Source organism: Homo sapiens, chromosome 5 (genome assembly GCF_000001405.40).
Source record: "Homo sapiens chromosome 5, GRCh38.p14 Primary Assembly".
In the NCBI taxonomy this organism is placed as follows: domain Eukaryota; kingdom Metazoa; phylum Chordata; class Mammalia; order Primates; family Hominidae; genus Homo; species Homo sapiens.
In genome coordinates, this window is record NC_000005.10 from 68942138 (window position 1) to 68967567 (window position 25430).

The window sequence follows — 25430 nt, forward strand, 5'->3', positions numbered from 1 at the left end:
CCCTTCATAAATATTTGTTAGTGAAAGGAAGGAGAGAATGCACACAATGGTCACATATCAGCCTCTGGCACAGAGTGGAAGTTCAATAAATACAGTCTAAGGATATTCAGATGTCAGAGCCTGCCCCCTTGAGATCTTGTCAGCTTGGGTAGAACCACCAAGACCTATGAAAACCTGAAGTCCTCACCTGCTTTCTGCAAATTCCCAAGAGGTTTCATCCTCACGATCTCTGTCTCCTGGCAACCTGTGTCATCTCAACAATTGAATTCCACCCACTTCCACTTATAACACACACACAACCTAACTTTCATGAAACACCGGTAAGCTTTGCAGACTTTATCAAAAACTGGACCAGGAGCAGAAGAAGTCAAGTAGACTCTCTGAGGACATAAAAAACAAAGGTGAGTTCCCCTCACAGCAACATATACAATTTTTTTTTTTTTTTGAGACGGAGTCTCGCTCTTTCGCCCAGGCTGGAGTGCAGTGGCGCTATCTCAGCTCACTGCAAGCTCTGCCTCCCCAGTTCGCACCATTCTCCTGCCTCAGCCTCCCAAGTAGCTGGGACTACAGGTGCCCGCCACCACACCCGTCTAACTTTTTGTATTTTTAGTAGAGACGGAGTTTCACCGTGTTAGCCAGGATGGTCTCGATCTCCTCACCTCGTGATCCGCCAGCCTCGGCCTCCCAAAGTGCTGGGATTACAGGCGTGAGCCACCGCGCCAGGCCCAACACACACAGTTTTAATAAATCAGGAATAAGTCAAGGAGCACCACAGTTCTTAAAATGTCCTTTATCCCACAACCACCACCTTGCCAATTTGTTGGCCTCATCGCCCTCCTGCTTCACTCCTTTTGGCTGACTCCTCTTGCCTCTCTCCTCCCTTCTCTTCTCCTCACCCCATTCTTCTTCTTCTAAAAAGAATGGAGCTCTCCCAGTACCCACCTACCCCTCAACTCCTCTTACTAGGTTTTCACAACCAAACCCAAGGCACTAAATAGGAAAGGGACATTCCCTTTAACCAGACCCAACCTCCTTGAAAAAGGAGTTTTCATTAAAACAATGAAATTTCTGTTCCTATAACATTATATGTATAAATCCCAATAAGGATGGATTACTACTTTCATTTTACATACAAGGAAATTGAGACTAAAAGAGGTTAAATCCCTTGTCCAAGTCAAAGGGTAGAGTTAGAATTTGAACCCAGGTCTGCATAATTCCACAGACAGCATTGCAAACACTGCACTACCAAAAAAAATCTCCAAGAGGCCATTTGGCAATATTCAAGTCTGTGGCAATAGTATGTCCCATAATCTCAGCCAGCTGTCCCTCAGAGATATGCCAGCACTTTCAAGGGGCTTGGGCAAATAGCATGAATTATTCAGCACAAACTATCAGTCCCATTACAGAAACAATGCAACAAACATAATCCGCCATCTTCTATGAAGGGTGATTTTCATAATCATTTGAGATGCCATATTCTTTTGATGTTATTTCTTCAGACAAGTTATTTGTGAATACAAGCTCTTAGATTCTCTTCTACTTGGAATTACAGAATGTAATAATTCAGTGCATAATGGAGTATGTGTTCAATGGGAGTTTGATGATTAACCAAATGAATAACAATGTTTCCATCATGTGCAGCAGATGTGGGTAGTAGCGGGTGTAGAGGCCATGGAGTGGGTAGATATCTATTATTGAAGGGATTTTCATCTCTATTTCGCTTCAGCCCAAAGAAGGTGAATTCAGTCTTCATTACTTAATAATGGCTCCACAGATCCAAACTCGTGTTCATTTTACCACTCTTCTGTAAGGATTCATTTATTCCAAAAGACAAAGTATTTGTTTTGTTTTTGTCTTTTTTCTCAATGAAATTCCTTAGTCACCGAGTTATTTCAGGCCCTAACAGAAAAAAAGAAGGAACATTCAAATGACAGTGAGCTGAAGGCTTCAGTAACATTGATCTAAGACCACTGGCTCTGAAAACATCAAGAAAGCAGCATTGCTGCCTTGACAAAATAAGATCCTGGGGGCAACATCAATTCTTACCACACATAAGTACTTTGCTCTGTGTTTAGAAGCAATCAACACAAATCTGGAAACATTTGCAAAGGAAGAAATATTCGGTGGGAAAATTTTAAATTTTGAGAGCCTAAAGTAAATTTTTGCAAAAGTACTTTTTTCTAAGGCCACACTGTTCCCTAAAATGTCTTCATCAGACCCCTTACTTTGGTGAATTTCCCATTGTCTTCATCAGACACCCACCCCCTTTGGTAAACTTCCTGAGAATTATAAGAACCTTTTAGACAGTTAGTGGCTTAAAAGAATTTTTCCATGATATTCAGTCTGTTTTTATCCCACATGTGCCACAAATCAGCAGCATGGCCTTCAATCAGTCATTAAATGGCTGTAGGCCTCAGCCTCCTCCTGGGTAAGATGAGAGATTGGCCCTCATGCTCTCTAGAGCTGTCTTAGTCCATGCAGGCTGCTACAACAAAACCGTCAAAAACTAGGTGGCCTCTAAACCACAGAAATTTCTTTCTAACAGTTCTAGAGGCTGAGAAGTCCAAGATCAAGGCACCAATAAATTCTGTGTCTGCAGGGCCCGTTTCCCTGTTCATAGATGGCACCTTTGTGCTCCATCCACACATTTCTCAGAGGTTAGAACTGTTAGTGGTGGGGATACCACATCTCCATCTCTGGGCTCAGATTCCCTCCTAAGTTAGAGAAGTTGGTCCTACACAGGAGAAAGGGCCGGGGCTGCCATCTGGGCCTTGCACATGCACAGGCAGGCCACCTCTACTCAGAAGGACAGTCTCTTCTTAATTCACTTAAAAAAAATTGTTCTGGGCTCCTTTAAAAAGAAAAACAACAACTAAATAAAAACATACCTTTACTGCCTATTTGATAAGAGAATAGAACACACAGGTACAAGAAGGCCTGTAATTTCTTCTTCATTTCTCTTAAGCAACAATAACAACAAAAGCCAACTTTAAACAAATGGAAGAATACCCCTTACAAAGAATCATGACAGAAATCAATATAGGATTTTAAGGACATTTGTTGAATGGACCTCAGAAGATACTGAGAATTGGATTTAGAGGATATCTCCTTAATTTCAAGGCTTTCTCTGATGTGTGTCAGACCTTCTGAGTACCCGGCCTCCATGTCTCTCCCCTCAGCCCTGACATCACTCTTTCCTATTTTAAGCTTTATTCTTAAACCTGGGAGCACTCAGTAGTAGTCCCAACTGCACAGCGAATGGGCCCAACCTGACCCAGCATGGGCAGGAGATATGGAGAAAGCAGGAGGCCAAAGGGGAAGGCAGGAGGCAGCTGTCACTCCACCATCCACGCTGCTCTGTTTAGGACCAAAGTAAGGGGAGCCTGATTCCCTCCTCCAAGACCATGCTCTCTTTTACAGGATATAAGGGAAGGCCTCTGGAGGAGGCAGCATTTAAGCTGCAAACAAACTGATAAGGAGTCGGGCCTGGGAAGTATAGGAACAGAATATTCAGGCAAAAGGAACAGCATGACGTACAAAGCAGCCTAGAATGTTTAGAAGCATAAAGAAGAGCAGTGCAGCTAGAAAGCAGTCTGTGGGGTACAGTGGCTCTAGATGAGCTGGAGAGGTGGGCAGCCCAGACCAGACAAGACCAGACCTTTGGCTTATGTTGGGTTCCCTGAATCAGACCATGCACAAGGATTTGAACACAAGTAGTATGTTTTGGAGGAAGTACAGAAAAGGCACAGGAAAGTGAGGTAGGGTGGGATGAAAGGCAATACACAGTGTGCTAGCAAGCAGTTTACCTCTGTGGGCAGCTGGGTCTCACTCCCATGGGAGACTGCTGGAGATTGCACCAAGCACACCTCAGAGTTCTACCACCTGAGTGGCAAGACAGTGGGGGTATTTATCCACCTATTCTTGTCCATCACTGATTGAGACCTGCTCCTGGGGCATTAACTCCCAGACACTTTTTGTCTGCTACTAGCCAGAAAACCTCAGGTGGGGAGTTTTGGGTGGTCACAGCAGAAAGTTGCCGAACATTCAAGTACAACGAGTCCTAAAAGGAATATGCGCGGGACATCGGCCGTCTTGTAGCAGCCTTGTAGACAAAGGTAAGGACTTTGAATTGTATTCTAAGTGCAATGGGAAGCAACTGAAGGGTGTCAAAGCAGGCACAACACTTTCTAATATACATGTAAGATGACTGTTACTGCTGTGTAGAGAAAGGTTGGAGGGAGGGTAGCAGCACAAGAGTGGAGATGTCATTCATTCCAAAATGCCATATTGTTTAAGGTTAAGTAGTTGTCCCAGACCTCTCTCATACAGGCAAACCCCAAGTGTCTCCTGACCTCCTTCCTTTCAGCCATCCCCTCCTGAAGCCTCCCTTCCCTTTTCTTTCAGGCAATCTGGGTTCAAATCCTGACTTTCCCACTTAATTCCTGTGTGACCTGTGGCAAATTACTTAACATTGCCAAGGTTATAAAACGGGATAAAATTCTTTCCATAGAGAGTTTGAGCAATAAATGAGATATTAAAAGCATAGCGCAAGTACCAGCACACAATAAAGTCAACTAATATATGTACAGTTTAAAATATTATTAATACACAGTGAATATTCAAGTATGCCCTTACCACAGAGTAGTCCCTTATGGAGTCAGAAAGAAAATGAAGCTGAAACACATATGCACACACACAGGCACACACACACACAACTTTGTTTATTCTGATGATCTGCCTGGTTTGAAGTAATCTAAGCCAAGGTTTTCTCCCATTATCCTGAAAAATTGCATACGGGCGCTGTATGCGCTGTTCCCTGAACATCTAAGAAATCATCTGACTTATTGTCTAGGCACTTCAGAATGTCAGCATGAAGAATGTCAAGGAAAATTTAAGGAATATTAAGCAACCATCTGATATTCCTAGTTCCAAAGCCAAAGAGGAACATTTTGTTCCTACTTTAAAGCTATCATATAGGGAGAAAATAGTGATTTTCTCTAGAAATTCAAGCGCTATGAGAAATAATATGATGTCAAGGACTGGGTCCCACCCACTCTTCCCCATATAAGTGAACAGCATGACTTTGGCAGCAATTAAAGTTAATGGTTTGCCAATAATGAGCTCTTCATCAAAAAGATAAACTAGAAGCTATTTGGGACTTTTTCTGTTTTGACTTACACCAATTCCCTAGTGTCCATAATTTAAAATGGGCCAAATACCACATTCCTCACTTATTTAAATGAAAGTGGAAAATTACAATACTGACCCACATATAGACTGATCTTTTTTAACAGGTATTACATCTGAAAAACTAGGGGTGAAGGGAAGGCGTCTTAGTCCATGCCTCCCCCTTTCCCTGCCATACCCTGTGATTACTAAGCATGCAGACTCTGTGAAGACACTTACAGAATAATTTAAGAGCATCAAACCTGGAATCAGGAGACTCCATCTCTGGGCTTCAATTTTGTCATCAGTAAAATGAGAGTGTTGAATTACAGACCGATAACAAATCTTTCTGGACTTAAATATTCTATGCTGTCAGGTTCTGGTAAGGCAACTAGACCAATGCTTCCCCCCTGGAAAATGCAGGTGGCAGGAGGTGGTTCCAAACTTTTCCAGAGAGGAATAAAAGTGGTGGAAAAGGTGCAGAATCAAGGCACAAAGGGAGGAGGAAATAGTAGATATTGTTGCTAAGAGGATCTCCAGAACCCCCTGTGAAGAAGTACATGGTATAAATGAGGAATCAGTCATGAGACACAACCTCCTACCACCTGTTGGAAAGATGAAAAGTTGATCTTCTCTACAATTCTAAAATATCCAAACTTTACAGTGCATATTCAGCTTTCAAAGTAGTTTCAAAATCATTTCAATCCTTGTCAACACCTTAAGCATCCTTCTGAATATCTAATAAATTTAGCAGCTTCTCCCAGAGTATATATGTCTAAGCACATACCTCCCTTAGTGTTTTAGTTCAAGATGTGTTCTGTCTCTGCACACCCTTACATTACAAGGACTGTGTTCTTTTAGATTGCATTTGACAGTTTCTTCTATCAGCTGCATGCTCATGTAGACCCACAATATTCTTTTGCCAATTCTATCCCCTGCAGGAGGAAATGCAGGATGTCTTAAAAATTCAGAGCGCTGGTCAGCTTTAGCAAATACTCTTTTCGCTTCTCTTGTCAAATCCACAAAGACATGCAGATGTAGATGTACCACCAATATATGCCTAAGACCAAGCTGTCAAAGAAAGAGCTGTAGCAGCCACATTTTACAATAATTATGCCTAACGTTTCCATAGTTGTTTTGTTCCTGCCACTTTGAAGTTAATATTTAGGACAATGAGTCTCAAACTTGAGTGTGGATCAGAATCACCTGCAGGACTCTTTTTTTCCTTCAACCTTTAAGTTCAAGGGTACATGTGCAGGATGCGCAGGTTTGTTATGTAGGTAACACGTGTCATCATGGTTTGCTGCAGACCATCCCATCACCTAGGTATGAAGGCCAGCATCCATTAGCTATTCTTCCTGATGCTCTCCCTGCCTCACCCTTGACTCCAACAGGCTCCAGTGTGTGTTCCCTCTCCATATGTCCATGTGTTCTCATTATTCAGTTCCCACTTATAAGTGAGAACATGCAGTGTTTAATTTCTAGAGGACTTTTTGAAGCATAGATTGCTACCCTTCACCACCCACTAAGTCTAGGATGGGGCCTAAGAATTCACATTTCTCACAGGTTCCCAGGTGCCTGATACTGGGTGGGCCAGCACCCACACTTTGAGAATCACAGGTATGGAGAAATCTGTGAGCAGTCAGTATGCTGGAACCTGCTCTTTCCTCAGCTCAAAAGAAGTCAGAGAAGGAAATCTGGGCTCATTTTATTTCTTCATTAAATTCAGATCCAACTAACATTTACTGAGTTATACAAGGCACTGGGTTAAGTGTTTTCCAACACTTTTAATTCTCGTAATGACCTCTGCTGTAGCTATTGTCATCCTCATTCTAAAGAGGAGCAAACTGAGGCTGCAGAGAGATTAAGTAACTTGCCCAAGACCACAGAGCTAATAAGTAGAAGAGCCAGAATTCAAGGTCAAGTCTATGGATTCCAAGTCTCTCAGGTAACCTCAGTGATGCTGTAAATTCCCACTGTCTATGAGGCAGCCATGGGGCTTGGAGTAGGAGTTGTAAATGGCATTGATGGAGGATGGGGACATTCCTCCAGGAACTGCGGAGAGGCATTAAAGGAACTCTCTTCACATGCACATCTGGCTAAGTGGGCTAAGACACACCAATTCCTTTCCCTGTACCTCAGCTCTGCCAACTGTGAAACAGAAGACCAAAATAGTTGCCACCTACCCCCCAGCTTGTTCTCAAGAATGAGATAAGAGCTCCCAGCTATTACATAAGAAACACTTTTCTCTCCAAACTCTAGGCTCCCTGAGTAGTCTGAACGGCTGCAAGCTTCCTGAAGGACGGGGCTCACCCTCACCCTCTTGAATCTACTGCAGTGGTCACCCTTTTATCCCATCCTCTGACCTCCACCCCTCCCCTCTAGCCCTATCATTGACAGGCTGGGAACTCAGAGTTCAAAACGTGTTCCCAAAATGATGTGTGTATTTTAGAACCTCCACTTGTTCCTGCAGAGTTGACTATCAGAGAATTTCTCTGACAGCCCAGTTGGACGCATTTTTAGGTGTTCTCCAGATTCTTCCCCAGTCTGTACCTCACAGGCCCCTAAGGCATAGTATGCTGGAGGCTTTGCCCTCTGGGGAACTGGCAGGAGGCATGTCACACCTATTTTGTAAGCTTGGAAGGGCTCCTGTGGAGAGCCTCATCCCCTCAGAATTAAGAATCCTTTGCTGTGCTTCACTGGTCCCATCTAATGAACGAGAGAAACTCTCAGGTTCCACATTAGTCAACGACAGAACCATCCAGAGAATACATAAGTGTTCTGGAGTCAAAGTGAGCAAATAAAAGATGGATTTCTTTTTGTTTCCTTTTCTTGGCTTCGTGTCTTAAAGGGATGGCCAACCTCCCTTCTCCCCAGTCCTTCCTTGTGGGTGTTTGTTTATTAATGGAGTGGAGTGAAACCCTGAAAGCTGTGCCCTTGCTCTGAAGTTCTGATTGTAATGGAAACAGTTGCCAGGGGGGTGAAGTGTCACCGTGGTTATCTACTGATCAAGGACAGCATGCCTGAGAGAGAGAGCAGCCAGAGCCTCTGCCTGTCAAGACAAGCCTCATTCCGCCTCCACTCGCTCTGCCCTGCCAGTGGCTAATTGATTTGTGAAAATGCTTGGAGGTAGTCTGAGTGAGAAAGACACTTTATGTCTGCTTACGACAAATCCTCGGAGGAACAAAAAATCCATTTCATGCACACATTCCCCTGCTTGAGTCTTTCTTCCATTCAATTCCCAATTAGCTAAATCTTCAGCACCCAAAGAACTAAGCAGATGAAAAAAATCTTCTGATGGCCAGCTCCTGCCAAACAGAGAGAATGGCACATACAGAAAAGAAACCTGCATCAATGGTAATAAAATAAAATAAAAATGAGGAACAGAAAAGCAGGCAGTAAGGAAGGAAAATGGCCCTCTGGCCTTTAAGCTACAATTTAAGAGAATAACTAAATCCAAAAGTCAAGTTCTAACAGTGACCAGTAACAAGAATAACTCATGAAAAGCCTGAATCCTGTAGTGCAACCTCCTGGCAACCTCATTTAACACAAGTAAATTCTAGTACACTGATTTTCTGTTGACGTCCAGCAATCAGTCTAGTGTCTCTATGCATAGACTCAGAAGTACTGTCGGTCTTCTATAAACCCATCCCCTGCAAAATGGACCAGAGCATTGGTTTGGGATTTCCTGCTGCCCAACTGGGGATGGGACCTGCCTTCTGACTTTCCAGTTTAGCTTCTGCCTACAGTGTATTTGCTTTTCAAAAAGAGTTTGCCAGGGCTGTTGAAAAAGTTGAAGGAATGTTGATAACAGAACTGACTTTTCATCAAAAGCTGCTTCTTGTAAGTGAACTTGGCTCAAACTCAAAGCTCTTCCCCTGTTGCCAATTGATCCTTGGGTACCCTTGGGTAAAAGCCAGTAAAGTTATTCCTGGGCCTTTTTTATGTGCAAGTGTTAAATTTTTTTGAACAGCTGGGATAATGAGGCTAACTTCATTCACTTATTCACTCAGTCAGTATTTATTAATTACCAGAAATGTGCCAGACTCGTAAGTAAAACTTATTCTTTAATCACTAATTGTAATGTTTGTTCTGCAGAAATAACCACTCCACTGTTTTGGAGCAGTATACCATGAGAAAGTAGATGGAGAGAGAAAATAAAGGAACCCACTTTTTTCCCTTCTTCACAGCCTCTAAGTTTCAAAGGGCAAGGATAGTAGAGAGAGTTCCAGAGCATTGAGCTATTTTCAAACTGCTAACTACTTTGGATTACTTTGGCAACTCCTGTTCCAATGGTTTAAATCTGGTACAACACAGCACAATACATAGCTTTCCAGAACCATCTACATTCAGAACTCATTAAATACAACCTCACTAAGACATTTTCTAGGCCCGGGCGCGGTGGCTCACGCCTGTAATCCCAGCACTTTGGGAGGCCAAGGCGGGTGGATCACAGGGTCAGGAGATCGAGACCATCCTGGCTAACAAGGTGAAACCCCGTCTCTACTAAAAATACAAAAAATTAGCTGGGCATGATGGCGGGTGCCTGCAGCCTCAGCTACCCGGGAGGCTGAGGCAGGAGAATGGCATGAACCCAGGAGGCGGAGCTTGCAGTGAGCCGAGATCGCGCCACTGCACTCCAGCCTGGGTGACAGAACGAGACTCCGTCTCAAAAAAACAAACAAAAAAAAAGACATTTTCTAAAATACCCACTTATGCAGCTGAGATTTTTTTTTTTTTTTCCCCAAACAGAGTCTCGCTCAGTCACCCAGGCTGGAGTGTAGTGGCACAATCACAACTTATTGCAGCCTTGACTTCCTGAGCTCACATGATCCTCCCACCTCAGCCTCCCAAGTAGCTGGAACTACAGGCATGCCACCACACCAGGCTAATTTTTTATTTTTATTTTTTTGTAGTGATGAGGTCTCACTATGTTGCCCAGGCTAGTCTCGAACTCCTAAGCTCCAGCGATCCTCCCATCTCAGCCTCCCAAAGTGCTAGGATTACAAGTGTGAGCCCCTGCAACTGGCTGAGAATTTTTTTAGTGAATTTTAGAGATACTTGGAGGCTATTCTCCTAGCCATTGCCAGGCTCTCTCAATCCCCACAGGTGTCCAGGCAAGACATCAAAAACAAGTCAAAAAAAACCATGGCTGATCTTTTTAACCTCTTCCAAATTCAGTCTAATTGCCATCATTCTTGTTCTATAAAATTGATAGATCAGGTATTTGTCCAGTCTCATAGGATTTAAATCTATCTTTCATTGCTGTAAAGACAAAGTAATGCAATTATAATTAAATAAAGAAGTTGTATTTGTACCATCCTTACTGGTTGATAAAACATCTTTATGGTTTACAAAGCATTTTTCATTTAATTAAAAGAACATTAAATATTCATTCAACAAACACTTTTTGACACCTCCCCCCATGGATATCCCTGGTGCCTAGCACAGTACTTGACATATAAAGAATAAGATACATTCTGTACCCTCAGGAAGTCCAGAGTCAAGTGGATGAGAAAAACAAGTCAACAATTATTACAATAAGATAAAAGTGCAATTGAGAAATATGAAAGTATAGTGGTAGGCAGAAGAAGGAAAATAGACATATTAAGAATTCAAAGTTCAAAATGGTATTGCGGGTCCAATTTACTTATAAGTGTCTAGGCTACAAGGATGTCTAAGTATACATGCATAGATAGAAACATAATAAAATGGTTTTGATGGTGGTGGCAAGGCTGAGCGTAGCCACTATTGTGGGGGAACGGCTGCTGGTGATAAAGGTGATGATGACGGTGGGTTTCAGAAGACAGGGATATTTATTGGGTGATCGGAATTGGTATCCTTTCTTGCTACAGTACCAATTCTCAACCATCCCTGAGACCTCTCTCTTCATACATTCCAGTGGTTCACCATAGAGGTAATATCCATCCAGCCACAGCAACAACAGCCACAAAATGTTAGCAGCAATGGCCTATTTGGTAACAAACCATGTGGAATTGCTGACAGCCTGTGGTCACTTAGAGATGCACCCAAATGCCAAGAAATCAAAAACGAAGCCCTCTGCTCAAACCTGCCTTAGATTAGTTGAGGGCCATTTGCCTGACCAGGAGAAACAACGATAACTTTGAGGAGGGTGAGAAAGCCAGGAAGGGGAGGAAGAAACTAAACATGAATTGAAAGCAGATGACACAAGCCCCTGGCTCATATAACCCTGCAAGAAAGAGCATGAAACACGTTTCTTGCAGAAGGATGATTATCAGAAAGAAAAAAAAAAGATTGCAATAAATCCTAACCAAAACCAACAAAAGAAAATGTTGGACAGTTTGTTGGATAAATATTCAGTAAGGCTGATCCAACTCACTGAGTTGTTATAAAGAACAGCTAATAAAAAAAGATTGTCAAGGACACTGCAAACATAGAAGAACTAACCAATAATAAGAACATTAATAATAAGGGAGGACCTAGGAATAAAACCAATTCAATCAAGACCTACAATGTTGAGCAACTAGCACAGAAATAAAGAAAACAGATATGACTGTCTGGAGGTGGTCCAAACAAACAAGAACCAAAACCACTTTTTTGCTCTTAATTTTTAAAAGAAGACAAGTTTACAGGGTATACGACTATAAATAAATATTAGCCAACGGGCTCTTGCTTTTCCCTAGAGACAGCTCCCTTGGAAACGACTTCCTGGATGGAGAGGGTAAGGAAGTTGAAGTCTCTTACTCTCCTCCCCAGAGCTCAGGGTCCATGACAGGAAGACTTCCCTCCCTAGTCTGACAATTTGGGATTGGAAAAAAAACGCTGGAAGGAATCCAAAGCTGTGGTTCATTTCATTCTTTCATTCTCTGCTTTCGCCAAATGCTGACAATTACAAACAAATGTTTTCTTCACAAATACTTTCTTCTAGATGAACATTCTGCTCATTTTGGTTGCTTATGTATAAATGGCTTGAGAAACACTTTCTAAATCCCCAAGGTGACAGAATTTCCACGTAATGATAATGATTATTTAATATCATCATCACAATGGGCTGCCTGGGCAAATGAAATGCTTGCTGGGTCTAAAGCATTCACTCAAGTGAGGTAAATTAACGCTTTCCAGGGTACCAGATTTCCCGTTGGGACCCTAAAGAAGATAACTCATTACTCAGGCATTCTCTACCCCCAACACTGCTGTCTACCAGCAAGTTCTTCAGTTGCTTTAAACTGTCAGGCTTCTCAGCCAGTGCAGGGAAGTCCAAGAGAGATAAGAATACGCTGAAAAGGTCCACACTAGGTGGATATTTTTAGTCATCTGAAGACAGTCCAGGAGTTATAATCATCATAATAACCCATGTGACGCAGCTCATCTTCCTTCTCAAAGCACTTACAACATGTTAATCATCCCCTTTGATCCTCACAATAATCCCTGAGGTATGCAAAGCAGGTATTATTATAGTCAGCACCTGGCTATAGTAGCGAGAAGGACATAGACAAATGATATGGAGGTAAGCCTCAGAGACACAGAAAAGCAAGACAGGGTGTAGCAGGAAGAGGGAGCAGGCCCCAAAACCACTAGCATCAAAAGCAGTGAGGGTTTGGGACCAGGGTCCCTATGGAGTCAAACCGCATATTAGCACATGGAGACAGAAACATGACGAGGCTTGAGGGTCTCATTGGGTAGACTGAGTTTAAAAGATGATCTAGTGATGATTTACTGTTTAAAGATTATTGTTTCTATGGCCAAAATCAAGAAAAATGGAAATGAAAATGGACTCTGCATCCATTTTACTATTTGTACTATGTGTCAGGTGTTTTTCTATAAAATACTAACTCATTAAGTCTACACAACTAATCTCTGCAAGACAGATATTATCAACCTATTTTATATTACAGATGAGAAGACTGAGGCCCAAAGAAGTTATGCTATTTGCCCAAGGTCACATATCTGCTAAGTGGTGCAGATGAGATTCAGGGACTAGGAGAAAGAAAGCAACAGAAGGTTGGGGGCACAGGCCGGGAATAACTGAGCCATAAGTTACAGGCAGCAACAATAAGAGCATCTAGATAAGCATTTAAGAATAAGGAATGAATGCTTCCTGAGCCCTGGGCTCTATGTCCTTCCTGCCCAGAGCATCGCCTGCTCTTGAAGCATATCAGAGGCTGGGCTCACAGAGCCTGGTGAGAGGGCCATCCGACTGAGGTGGAAGAGAGAGGATAACAGGCAAGATGATTCCTGGCCATTAGCACCCTTTCACAGAGAGGGAAAGTAAGTCCTAGGGAGGAAAGTTCACGAAAAAGCTGGGGAGAAGTTGCTTTTCTCCTGCAACAGCAAGGGGAAGCTATAATGTCTGAAAACAGAAATCTAGGAGGATCATGGTAGCCAGCAAGCAGTTTGCCTAAAGCGTTAGGTTAATGTTGGTGAGAGCCAGAGATGGTGGAAGGAAGTAGAATGACCAGAGCCAAAGGAACATAAGAGAAGGCGTAGATTAGTGGAAAAAAGTCCTCTACTTTGGATTCCTTTGCTAGGACACCTTGGACAAGATACTTCTCCAAGCTCCATCCACAAAACTGAATCAATAAAATCCACCTCATTGTGACTCTATATATACGCGTCATCATAACAATACATATAGTCTGAGTGGCCGTTGTTATTCTTAAACTTTTGAAAGAAGTTTTGATGTCGAGGTAGATGGTCTCCAGGGAGGGTAATGTAACAGGCAAGAATTTGGACTTGGAGTGATCTTCTTCTTTGCAGTTAATAAAATGTTTCTGTTGAAAACCTACTTTCACCAATCCTTATGAATTTCAACCTATGTCATTAGCAAGACTTGATTCTAAGAAGCACATAGAAAGCCATTTCAGTGACCTTTTCCTTCTTCGAGATTTATAGAACATGTTTCTTCTGACAAGCACGAACCATCATACTTTAAATAAAAAGGTTCCTCCTGGAGGGAGAATTAATCAAGAACAATAACATTCTGCCCAACCTTCTTAGCATGTAAGGGTCACATCCAGTAACAGTGTGTGAAGACTTCCAACAAATTGCCTTCAGTCTCTCTAAAAGATTTGTCCAACAGAGCCCATTTGTGCTTATTTCCGCAGAAACTTCGGGCACCAAGACAGCAGTTTCCAAGATGGAGATATAGCAATTGTAAGCAATGTTATTTATAGAATTATCTGCAAAGGTGCTTAGAAAGGTTCATCTTACAAGCCTGGAATAATTCAGAGAATCTTAGAGGTGGCAAGAACCTTGTAGACCACTAGGCCTAACCCCCAATCTAATCCCGATGTTCAGTGTCCTTCCAGAGCTAACATGAGGCTTCTTTGTATAGACCTGGGTTTGGGGAACTTATTTCTAGAAGTGCTCAGAGGACTCTTAGAGCTGAATATAACAGTACCAGAGAGGCCGCCATATGCAAAAACATGGATGAACCTAGATGACATTAGACTAAGTGAAACAAGCCAGACGCAGAAAGAAACGCACTTCATGACCTCACTTATATGTGGAAACTGAAAAAAGACATCAAGTGTATAGAAACAGCAGAAAAGTGGTTATCAGGGCTGGGAAAAATAAGGAGATGTAACATGAAGAGTAGAAAGTTGTAGTTCTGCAGGATAAATAAGTCTAGAGGTCTAATGTACAGCATGAAGACAATACTTAATAATATTGTATTATATACTGGAAATTTCCTAAGAGAGATTTGAGGTTCTCTTATTACACAAAAAAAGTACCTGTGAGGTAAGGGATACGTTAATTTGCTTAACTGCAGTAATCACTTCACTATGTATATGTGTATCAAAGCATCATGTTGTACAACTTCAAGTTATACAATTTTAAAAATGTGTAAATGCAATAGTACCAGGAGCCACTAAATGATTCATATTCTAATCCTCTAATTCTAGTATTATTTCTGAACATTTATATTTTATATTAATATAATCTTTTTTTTTTTTGAGACAGAGTTTCACTCTTACTGCCCAGGCTAGAGTGCAATGGCGTGATCTCGGCTAACTGCAACCTCTGCCTCCCAGGTTCAAGCAATTCTCCTGCCTCAGCCTCCCAAGTAGCTGGAGTTACAGGCATGTGCCACCATGCCTGGCTAATTTTTGTATTTTTAGTAAACATGGGGTTTCACCATGTTGGCCAGGCTGGTCTCAAACTCCTGACCTCAGGTGATCCACCTGCCTCAGCCTCCCAAAGTGCTGGGATTACAGGTGTGAGCCACCATGCCTGGCCCAATATAGTCTTATAATATGCACACAGCCTTGCAGTGCTTAGCCCCTCTGTGAATAGGCCCAGCATATCCTCTTCATCTTCTCCCCCTCTGCCAAGTCCCCTCCACAGGCCACAACACTGGTCACCCTCCAAACACAGACCCAGAGTGAGCTGAGCACAATGGCCATGAGATGATCCTCCCTCCATGCCCTCCCATCTGTCAAGTGAGGACAGGGGAGGGCTGATGCCTAAAACCAGACCAGTCAGACTCCAACTCAGCCCTGTCCCTGTCCTTTGTCATCTGGCAGCATTCTGTCACAAGGCATTGCAAGTGGACATTAGTTTACTTAAGGTTCAGCATGGAAGGCCACCTGGCCACCAAAAGCTGGCAAAGAAATGAGGACTCCTGGCAGGTTATAAGCAGCCTGCAGCAACTCCTGAGGACCTGAAAGAGGCTGCAGAATAAACTTGGGCTTCCCTCTTTACAACGTGATGTGGGATGCACAGTGCTTCTGTCATAGAGTCAGGCAAACTTTATGTGTGGCTGTTAAAGTAGGGAGCAAACCTTGTGCTCTAATCTGTCTGATAGATTAGCCAGGAAAATATCACTGAAAACATTCCATGGAATTTGTTTTAAGGTTCCCAGTCAGCACAAGCTATTAAAAGGAAACAAAGTCATAGCTTGCTCCTCAGTAAGTCTTATCTTTCTGTTGTCTGAGGATTTCCCATGATATTAGGATAAGGTTTGTATAATGTTTGCTTCAGGTGACTTAGTCATCATTAGAGGTGGAGAAGAGGGAAAAACTCAGTGGGTTATTTCTGCCTAAATGCCCCCTCAAAGCCGCCAACTGCTTGACCTGGCTTAACTCGAACAACTAGAACAGTGGTTTTCTTTTTCTTTTTTAGAATGGGTGGCTCTCCAAACTTGAAATGGGGAGAGGGGCCTGAAGATGCAGTGGTATGACTGAAGCTACCAAAACTGTCACCCAATACCATCCTCCTCTGTTTCAACACAAAAGAGAATCAGTTTTGAGAGCACAACCTTAGAATAAACTGTGTTAGACCTAAAGGTTGCAGGGAACTGGAAAGCCTAGCTGAACTCTCCCTGGCAGAACAAGCAGCTGGCGAAATCATTAACTAGCAGTTCTCTCCTGCCCCACAGTGCCCTTGGTTGCCCAAAGGCCCCCTGAGCCCAAGACTCCAGGTCTTTCCTTTCCTCCAAGTCAGCTTCTTCTGTGTCCTGTTCCCTCAGAGCAAAGCACTGTACTTTCCAAGGTAACACCTAGCTAAGCTAATATAATCTAATCTGAAAGACTTAGTATTATTGGATTATTATGCTATTACTCCTAGAGAATACAATTTGCATTCTAGAGACACACAGGCTTAAACTGAAGGAGTGGGAATTTCCATTACACTGTCAGGAGAGGAAGGGATGCAATTTTACAAGCGGTGGGAATTTCAAGACCAAATGTTAAAACTTAAAACAGCCTTGCCTGTTCCTACAGCTGGGAAGGTTTTGAGTTTCATTATTTAAAAGCTACCAACTCAACAGGCCCGGTGACTCACACCTGTAATCCCAGCACTTTGGGAGGCCAAGGCAGGCAGATCACCTGAGGTCGGGAGTTCGAGGCTAGCCTGACCAACATGGAGAAACCCCCGTCTCTACTAAAAAATACAAAAAAATTAGCTGGGTGTGGTGGCACATGCCTGTAATCCCAGCTACTCGGGAGGCTGAGGCGGGAGAATCGCTTGAACCCAGGAGGCGGAGGTCGTGGTGAGCCAAGATCATGCATTGCACTCCAGCCTGGGCAACAAGAGTGAAACTCTGTCTAAAAAAAAAAAAACAACTACCAACCCCTGCCTCTACGTAATCTTTTTTTCTAAAATGTTCCCCCATCTCCTCAGTATTGATGTGTTCAGAGGCTCTGGGCTTTCTTTTGACCTGAGTAATAGTAATGATTGGTCATGCCAGAGCTGTACTTCATCAGTGGGTTTTTTAAAATAATATTTTAAAAATAATACTACCTCCCCAGTTATTTAAAAGTAACCATGCCCTTGTTCTCACTCATAGGTGGGAATTGAACAATGAGAACACTTGGACACAGGAAGGGGAATATCACACACCGGGGCTTGTCGTGGGGTGGGGGGAGGGGGGAGGGATAGCATTAGGAGATATACCTAATGTAAATGACGAGTTAATGGGTGCAGCACACCAACATGGAGCATGTATACATATGTAACAAACCTGCATGTTGTGCACATGTACCCTAGAACATAAAGTATAATTTAAAAAAAAGAAAAGAAAAAAATTTAAAAATTAAATATAAAAAAATAAAAAAATTAAAGTAACCATGCCTTACATTTAATTCTTTTAATTTTGGTCTATTTTTTAATAAACCTAATAAGCTGCTTCAAAGATATGCAAGAACTCTTAGAAATAACTACCACTTATTGTATATATACTAGATGTCAATATAGTATACAATAGACGCTAAGCCAATTATATATTTGGTCTCATGACACACAACCCTATGAACTAGATGCTACTATTTCTTTTCTTTAGGCCTGAAAACTGATGTTCTGAGAATTTAAATAAATGTAGCCAAGATCACAGTAGTTGAAGTGTTGGAGGAAGCATTCAAACACAATTCTGTCTGCATTCAGAGCCTGCCGTCTTAATTACGAACTTTTCCTACCAGCTAAGGGAAAGGCAGTGTAGGGACAAACAACAATACTTCTACTATCTTGAGTTTAACAATCTTGCAGTAAGTGAGGTAGTAACTCCCAGGTGTGGTCCCTGAAACAGCAACATCATCATCCCCCAGCAAAGTTGTTCAAACTGCAAAATTTAGGGCCCACCTCAGACTTTAAAAATCAGAAACCCTGGAGATGGAACCCAGCAATCTGTGTTTCAAGACACACGCTTAAGTTTGAGAACCCATAAACTAAGCATCTGTATTAGTCCATTCTCACACTGCTATAAAGAACTACCTGAGCTTGGGTAATTTATGAAGAAAAGGGGTTTAATTGACTCACAGTTCCACAGTTTTAACGGCAAGCATGACTGGGAGGCCTCAGGAAACTTACAATCATGGTGGAAGGTGAAGCGGAGGCAAGCAGCTTCTTCACATGGTCACAGGAGAGAAAGAGAGAGAAAAGGGGAAGTTCCACACACTTTTAAACCCTCAGATCTCTTGATAACTCACTCACTATTACAAGAACAGCAAGGGAGAAATCTACCCCCATAATCCAACCACCTCCCACCAAGCCCCTCCTCCAATTCAACGTGAGATTTGGGCGGGGATACAAATTCAAATCATATCAGCATCAGTGTGAATACTTTGGAAATGGATCAATCACAACTGCTTTTTTAAACATTCATTTCTTGAATAATTCTTTTTCAGTAGAAACTTGCACATAATTTTATTCTAACTCCAGAGAGATTTGAACAAACATTGTTGCCACATGCTTGACAGGTGTGTAACATTGTGAGTGGAAAAGAAGTAATCAAGAGAAAACCATTTCTCAAAATCCTGTGAGGTAACCTAGTACAACTGACTTTAAAAGCAGTGTAACAGGTGTTTCTGAGTTTTACAAGATGAAGAGTTATCTAAGTTAGTTATATAATACCTAGTGAGTTCCCAGTAGTCTCCTCCCTGTCTGTGCAAAATTACAAGGAACGGCGTTGAAAAGCACCTGTAGGGCTCATTTGACGAGCCTGCCTCACCCTTCCTCTTCGCTCTGTGCTGCTTCTTTCTCTAATCAAAATAAGACAGGGGCCGGGCATGGTGGCTCACGCCTGTAATCCTAACACTTTGAGATGCTGAGGCAAGTGGATTGCTTGAGCCCAGGAGTTCAAGACCTGCTTGGGTAACATGGTGAAATACTGCCTCTACAAAAAATACAAAAAAATTGGCTGGGTGTAGTGCTGTGTGCTGTAGTCCCAGCTACTCAGGAGGCTGAGGTGCAATGATCACTTGACCTGGGGAAGTCAAGTCTGCAGTGAGCCGTGATCGGGCCAGTGCACTCCAGCCTGGGAGAGAGAGTGAGACCCCATCTCAAAAAATAAAACATAAAAAAAAATTAAGACCGAGAGGCCAGCTTTGGTCTGGGTGACACTACCAGTTTGGGGTCTTCCACTCCCTCTAGCTGGAGAACCTCTGGGCAATCGCCCAGTGTGCAGGTGCTCTGTGCACCTGCCCTAATGACTCAGGTCTGGGAATGGACCATTTTCCAAGAGGCAGGCTCTACATTCAGTTTCTCAAAACCCTTGTGTCTTCCATTTCCTTGAAGTTTGTTCAATATTAGCCTAGGTGTGCCCTGAATAAAAGAAAATAGAAATTCATGGCATCATTTTGTCTTTACCTGAAAAAGAAAAACGATTTGAGTTGGTTTTCAAACAGGGCCAGAGGTCAGAAGTCGAAGGGCAACTTCCTTGCTGGGGCTGAGTCAGTGACTTCAACCTTCTCAGACCAGGGTTCAGCTGTGCACACCCTGCTTCCTGCAGGGAAGGAGTTGTTCTGGTAGAAAACAGTTTGGATTCTACAGGCCAGTGGTGCAATTCCAGCTCAGGAAATTGCTAGCTCCGAAGCAGTTGTTCCTCCGTGTCTGACTTTGGGCGATGTATTTCACATTCTTCAGCCTGGTTTCCTGAACTGCACTGTTTGGGATGGAAAGGGCAGGAATATCAACCCAATGAGAATGGAGAGAAGTAGGACTCAGTGGCCTAACCTCACTAGACTACCTCAGGAAATGCTAAATTAATGTCAGCACTGCCGGCTGGGCATGGTGCCTCACAGCTGTAATCTCAACACTCTGGGAGGCTGAGGCAGGTGGATCGCTTGAGCCCAGGAGTTCAAGACTAACCTGGGCAACATACTGAAATCCCGCCTCTGCAGAAAATACAAAAATAGCCAGGCATAGTGGCATGTGCCTGTAGTCCCAGCTTCTCAGGAGGCTGGGGTGGGAGGATTGTTTGAGGTAGAGGTTGCAGTAAGCTGAGATGGCGCCCCTGCACTCCAGCCTGGGTGACAGAGTGAGACTCTGTCCTTAAAAAAAAAAGTGTTGGGGTAGGGGGGTGGTCAGTGCTTTTCCTCTTCCCCTTGAAAGTAATGAGACAGATTTTCACCTGACTTTTTGGGAACACTAACCTGAAAGAGCAGTCACCAGGGGTCATATAAACAGGGTTTACGGCCCGATCATCTCACAAGCATATCCCAGAAAACTGGGATATATGTGTGTGGTTTCTAATCTTGAAACACAGGACAAGGCCAGGATGCCTCATACACTGAAGAAGGGAAAAACTATAATCCCTGGTTCTGGATCAAGTCACAGGCTTTCTCCTCAGACCTCTGGGGAATGCTGGACTCTCTTCCTCTCCACAACACCCCACACATAAACACACTCAAAACACAGACAAATTCAGTATTCAGCTAATCCCTAAATATTCAAGGGAGCGACACACCAATCCACTGCAGAGAAGAGAAACACCACACTCGGTGCCCGGCTGTGAAGTTTAAAACCTTTCCCGGAGACATTTGTATTTTTCCCAAAAGGAGAGAGCCCTCTGCTGGTGAATGGACACCGTGCTGGGGAAGGGTGACCGGACTGTCCACGTTAAGTCACCCTTACCGGCTGTTTGCTCCTTTTCAGGCAGCAAATGTGTAAGTTATTACCAACTGGCTAAGTTTTCATCCGTGGCAGGAACAAATTCCAGTATTATTTAATGAATGTTGATGGTACAAAGCCCAAATCCCATAAAACCCTCTTGGCTGGACTGATTACAGTTTACTACAGCAAAAAGCGGGGAAAAAGAGAGGATACAAGAACTTTTTTCGGCTCTTCCATAGTTCATGGATAATCTCCTCGAAATGTTTCATGCAGACGGCTCTGCCCAGTATTTGGGCTGTAAAAACATCGTGTCAGACAGTTTGGAAGACGTTGTAAACAACCTAAATGTCCGTCAAAAGAAAATGAGTAGGTGAGTTATGGTGGATCCAAACAACGGAATACTATGCAGCTTTAAAAAAAATAGTGAGGAAGTTCATTCGGTAAGAATATAGAAAGATCGCCACATCGTTATGTTTGTGAAGGAAAAGCATAGAAACAATATGCATAATACACTGTCATTTGTGTAAGAAGGAGGAGATATGTTTGTGTTTGCTTCTACATGCATGAAGTATTTCTTACTTTTTTTTTTTTTTAACAGAGTCTTGCTCTGTCACCTGGGCTGAAGTGCAGTGGGGCCATCTTGGCTCTCTGCAAGCTCCACCTCCCGGGTTCACGCCATTCTCCTGCCTCAGCCTCCCAAGTAGCTGGGACTACAGGCACCTGCCACCACACCCGGCTAAATTTTTTTTTGTATTTTTAGTAGAGACGGGGTTTCACCGTGTTAGCCAGGATGGTCTCGATCTACTGACCTTGTGATCCGCCCGCCTCGGCCTCCCAAAGTGCTGGGATTACAGCATGAAGTATTTCTAAAAGTTTGCCCAAAGAATTAATTCCAGTGGTTACATGTTTATAGGGGTGTGAGAACTGCAGGAATGGAGGACACAGGTGAGAAGAAACGTTCCACTTTGTTATATATTTCGACCTTTGATGTGACTATTTTAATCAAACATTAAGTCGTTTTTAAATGACAGCCAGAATGGGCATGAAGTTTCCTTTTACCCAACACTTTGATAACAATTAACATTTATTTAGCACTTACTATGTGCCAGGCAACATGCTAAACGCCTTAGGTGCATTAACTCATTTATTTAACCCTCACAACTACCCTATAAGGTAGGAACTATTCCTGTCATCCACATTCCAGAGACAAGGAAACTAAGGGACAGAGAGGTTATTGGCCCAGGTTCACACAGAGAAGGCCTCTCAGCAGGCTGACTCCAGATTTCTGCACCAACACCGTTCTATGCAGCTGCTCCAGAGAAAGTGTCTCCAACACAGTAAAGCTGATATCAGAGAATATTGTTGGCTAAAATTCCAGGAATCCTGAAGTTTGGAGAAATCCTTTACTAGTGGTCTCAAACATGAGATTTCCTTTGATTAGACAAACGTACACCATTATTCACAAACATACACTCATAGATTCTCACAATTCAAACATGCATACATTCTCACATTCACACATACTCACACATCCTAAACTCACACACACATCCTCTCACGCAGTCACACTCATATATCTCACACAAATTCACACTCACATCCTCTCACACACATTCACACTCACATCCTCTCACACACACATCCTCTCTCACACACACTCATCCTCTTACACACACATCATCTCACACACTCACACACATCCTCACACAGTCACACACATACATCCTCTCACGCACTCACTCTCATACATCCTCTCACACACACATCGTCCACATACACATCCTCTCACACACGCACACACATCCTCTCACACACATACACACATCCTCTCACACACATACACATACCTCCTCACACACACACATTCTCTGACACATACACATACCTCCTCCCACACACACACACATCCTCACACACATCTTCTCACACACTCACACACATCTTTTCACACACATCCTCTCACACACATCCTCACACACACATACATCCTCACATACACACATACATCCTCTCACACTCACACACATCCTTTCACACACACATCCTCTCACACATTCACACACACAATCCTCTCACACTCACAGTCATACATCCTCTCACACACACACATCCTCATACACACACATCCTCTCACACACACATACCTCCTCTCACACACACACATCCTTTCACAGACACATCCTCTCACACACACACGTCTTCTCACACACTCACACATCCTCACACACACATACATCCTCACATACACACTCATACATCCTCTCACACACTCACACACATCTCTCACACACATCCTTACACACACATATCCTCTCACACACACATCCTCTCACACACATATACATTCCTTCTCTCACACACCCTCTCACACACTGACACATCCTCTCACACATCCTCACACACACATCCTCACACACACTCACATCCTCTCACACACACATACATTCACACAGTGACACACACATCCTCTCACACACATCCTCTCACACACTCACACACATCCTCTCACACACACACATCTTCTCACACACATATATCCTCTCACACACATTCATACATCTTCTAACACTCTCACACACATCCTCACTCACACTCATACATCCTCACACACATACATCCTCTCACACACACATCCTTTCACACACACATCCTCTCACACATTCACACACACAATCCTCTCACACACTCACAGTCATACATCCTCTCACACACACACATCCTCATACACACACATCCTCTCACACACATACACATACCTCCTCTCACACACACACATCCTTTCACAGACACATCCTCACACACACACGTCTTCTCACACACTCACACACACATCCTCTCACATACACACACATCTTCTCACACACACATCCTCTCACACACTCATGCATCCTCTCAAACACACACACATCCTCTCAAACACTCACACACCTCTCACACATTCACACACATCCTCTCACACACACACATCCTCTCACACACACACACATGCCCTCTCACACACACACATCCGCTCACACACACACCCACTCACACTTACACATCCTCTCACACACTGACACATTCCCACATACACTCATACCCACTCCCACACCCACTTGCCAACTCAAACACACCCTCACACCTTCTCTGGCTCCAGCCTACCCTCTCCTCTCTCCCGCCCCACACAGCCCCAGAGCGTTGGTCCTGGTACACTCCAGTCCAAGGATTCCTGGGCCTCTCTCAGGCCCACTCTCCCTTTGCCAATCTCAGGATCTCCTCTCCATGCATCAGCCTCTCCTGACTAAAATGTGGGCGTCCGTATTTCTGTTCCACACAACCCACTTCTACCTCCTAAACGTGCTCCACACACATTTGCACAAAGAACTAATAACACTGGTTACTATCATTAGTGCTCCATGCTACCCAATTCCAGCTTTATTTCTCCTGACAACAAAGACTTTCTCTTCCTCAGGACCTTAAGAGGGAAAGATTGTTTTTCCATTCTACTTATACTTTCAGCTTCTCTGCTTGCATAGTGAATGAAGAATTTCATGCAATTTCATTTTTGACAAGAAAGAGTTACAACCTTCCATCTATCTTAGGACAAGCTGCAGCGCATCTCCTCCCGGTGCTGGAGGACGCACAAACACTGTGAGACCAACATTTTGTTCTGCCAACAAGCCATTTAGTGTCCCTGGAGCACTGACCTGCAAATATGCTAGATGCAAAACCATTTAAAAGGGAGAATGAGATATAGCATTTGACACATGCACTTTTCATTTTTGGGGAGGGGTTGGCTTTACAACATAACAATTCTTGAACATTTTACTGCGGCCCCAAACTCCCTGTTGCTCTGCTGTTTCAAATTCTGAAGGCCGAAAATCTATGTCTATGTCTATGTCTATGTCTGTGTTGTACATTATTTTATTATATAGTGGCTGTAAAAGGATATCAAGGCCAGGCATAGTGGCTCACACCTATAATCTCAGCACTTTGGGAGGCCAAGGCAGGCAGATGGCTTGAGATGGCTTGGGCCCAGGAGTTTGACACCAGCCTGAGCAACACAGCAAGACCCTGTCTCTAATTTCTCTAATTTTTTTTTTTTTTTTTTTGAGATAGAGTTTCACTCTTGTTGCCCAGGCTGGAGTGCAATGGCACAATCTCGGCTCACCGCAACCTCCGCCTCCCGGGTTCAAGCAATTCTCCAGCCTCAGCCTCCCGAGTAGCTGGGATTACAGGCATGTGCCACCATGCCTGGCTAATTTTGTATAATTTTTTAGTAGAGACAGGGTTTCTCCATATTTGTCAGGCTGGTTTCAAACTCCTGACCTCAGGTGATCCGCCCGCCCGGCCTCCCAAAGTGCTGGGATTACAAGCGTGAGCCACCATGCCCCGCCCTGTCTCTAATTTTTTAAAAAAAAGAATATCAAAATGCCAGAATGCCAGGTATTCATCTGGAATTGTTCCATTTATAA

General features: G+C 43.2%; 2 long non-coding RNA genes across 2 annotated transcripts in view; one reads left to right on the forward strand and one right to left on the reverse strand.

Moving 5' to 3' along the window:
- The first annotated feature begins 318 nt into the window (after positions 1-318).
- LOC105379015 (uncharacterized) lies at positions 319-8101 on the forward strand. Its single transcript, XR_948415.3, has 3 exons — positions 319-401; positions 3989-4115; positions 8018-8101. It is a non-coding gene; the product is annotated as an uncharacterized LOC105379015 (long non-coding RNA).
- A 10301-nt stretch (positions 8102-18402) lies between these two features.
- Positions 18403-25430, reverse strand: part of LOC107984116 (uncharacterized) — a 46646-nt gene continuing 39618 nt past the window's right edge. Inside the window, exons 2-3 of the long non-coding RNA XR_001742709.2 lie at positions 19732-20026; positions 18403-18489 (exon numbers count right to left, since the gene is read on the reverse strand). This is a non-coding gene — a long non-coding RNA (uncharacterized LOC107984116). The remainder of the gene's footprint in view (positions 18490-19731; positions 20027-25430) is intronic.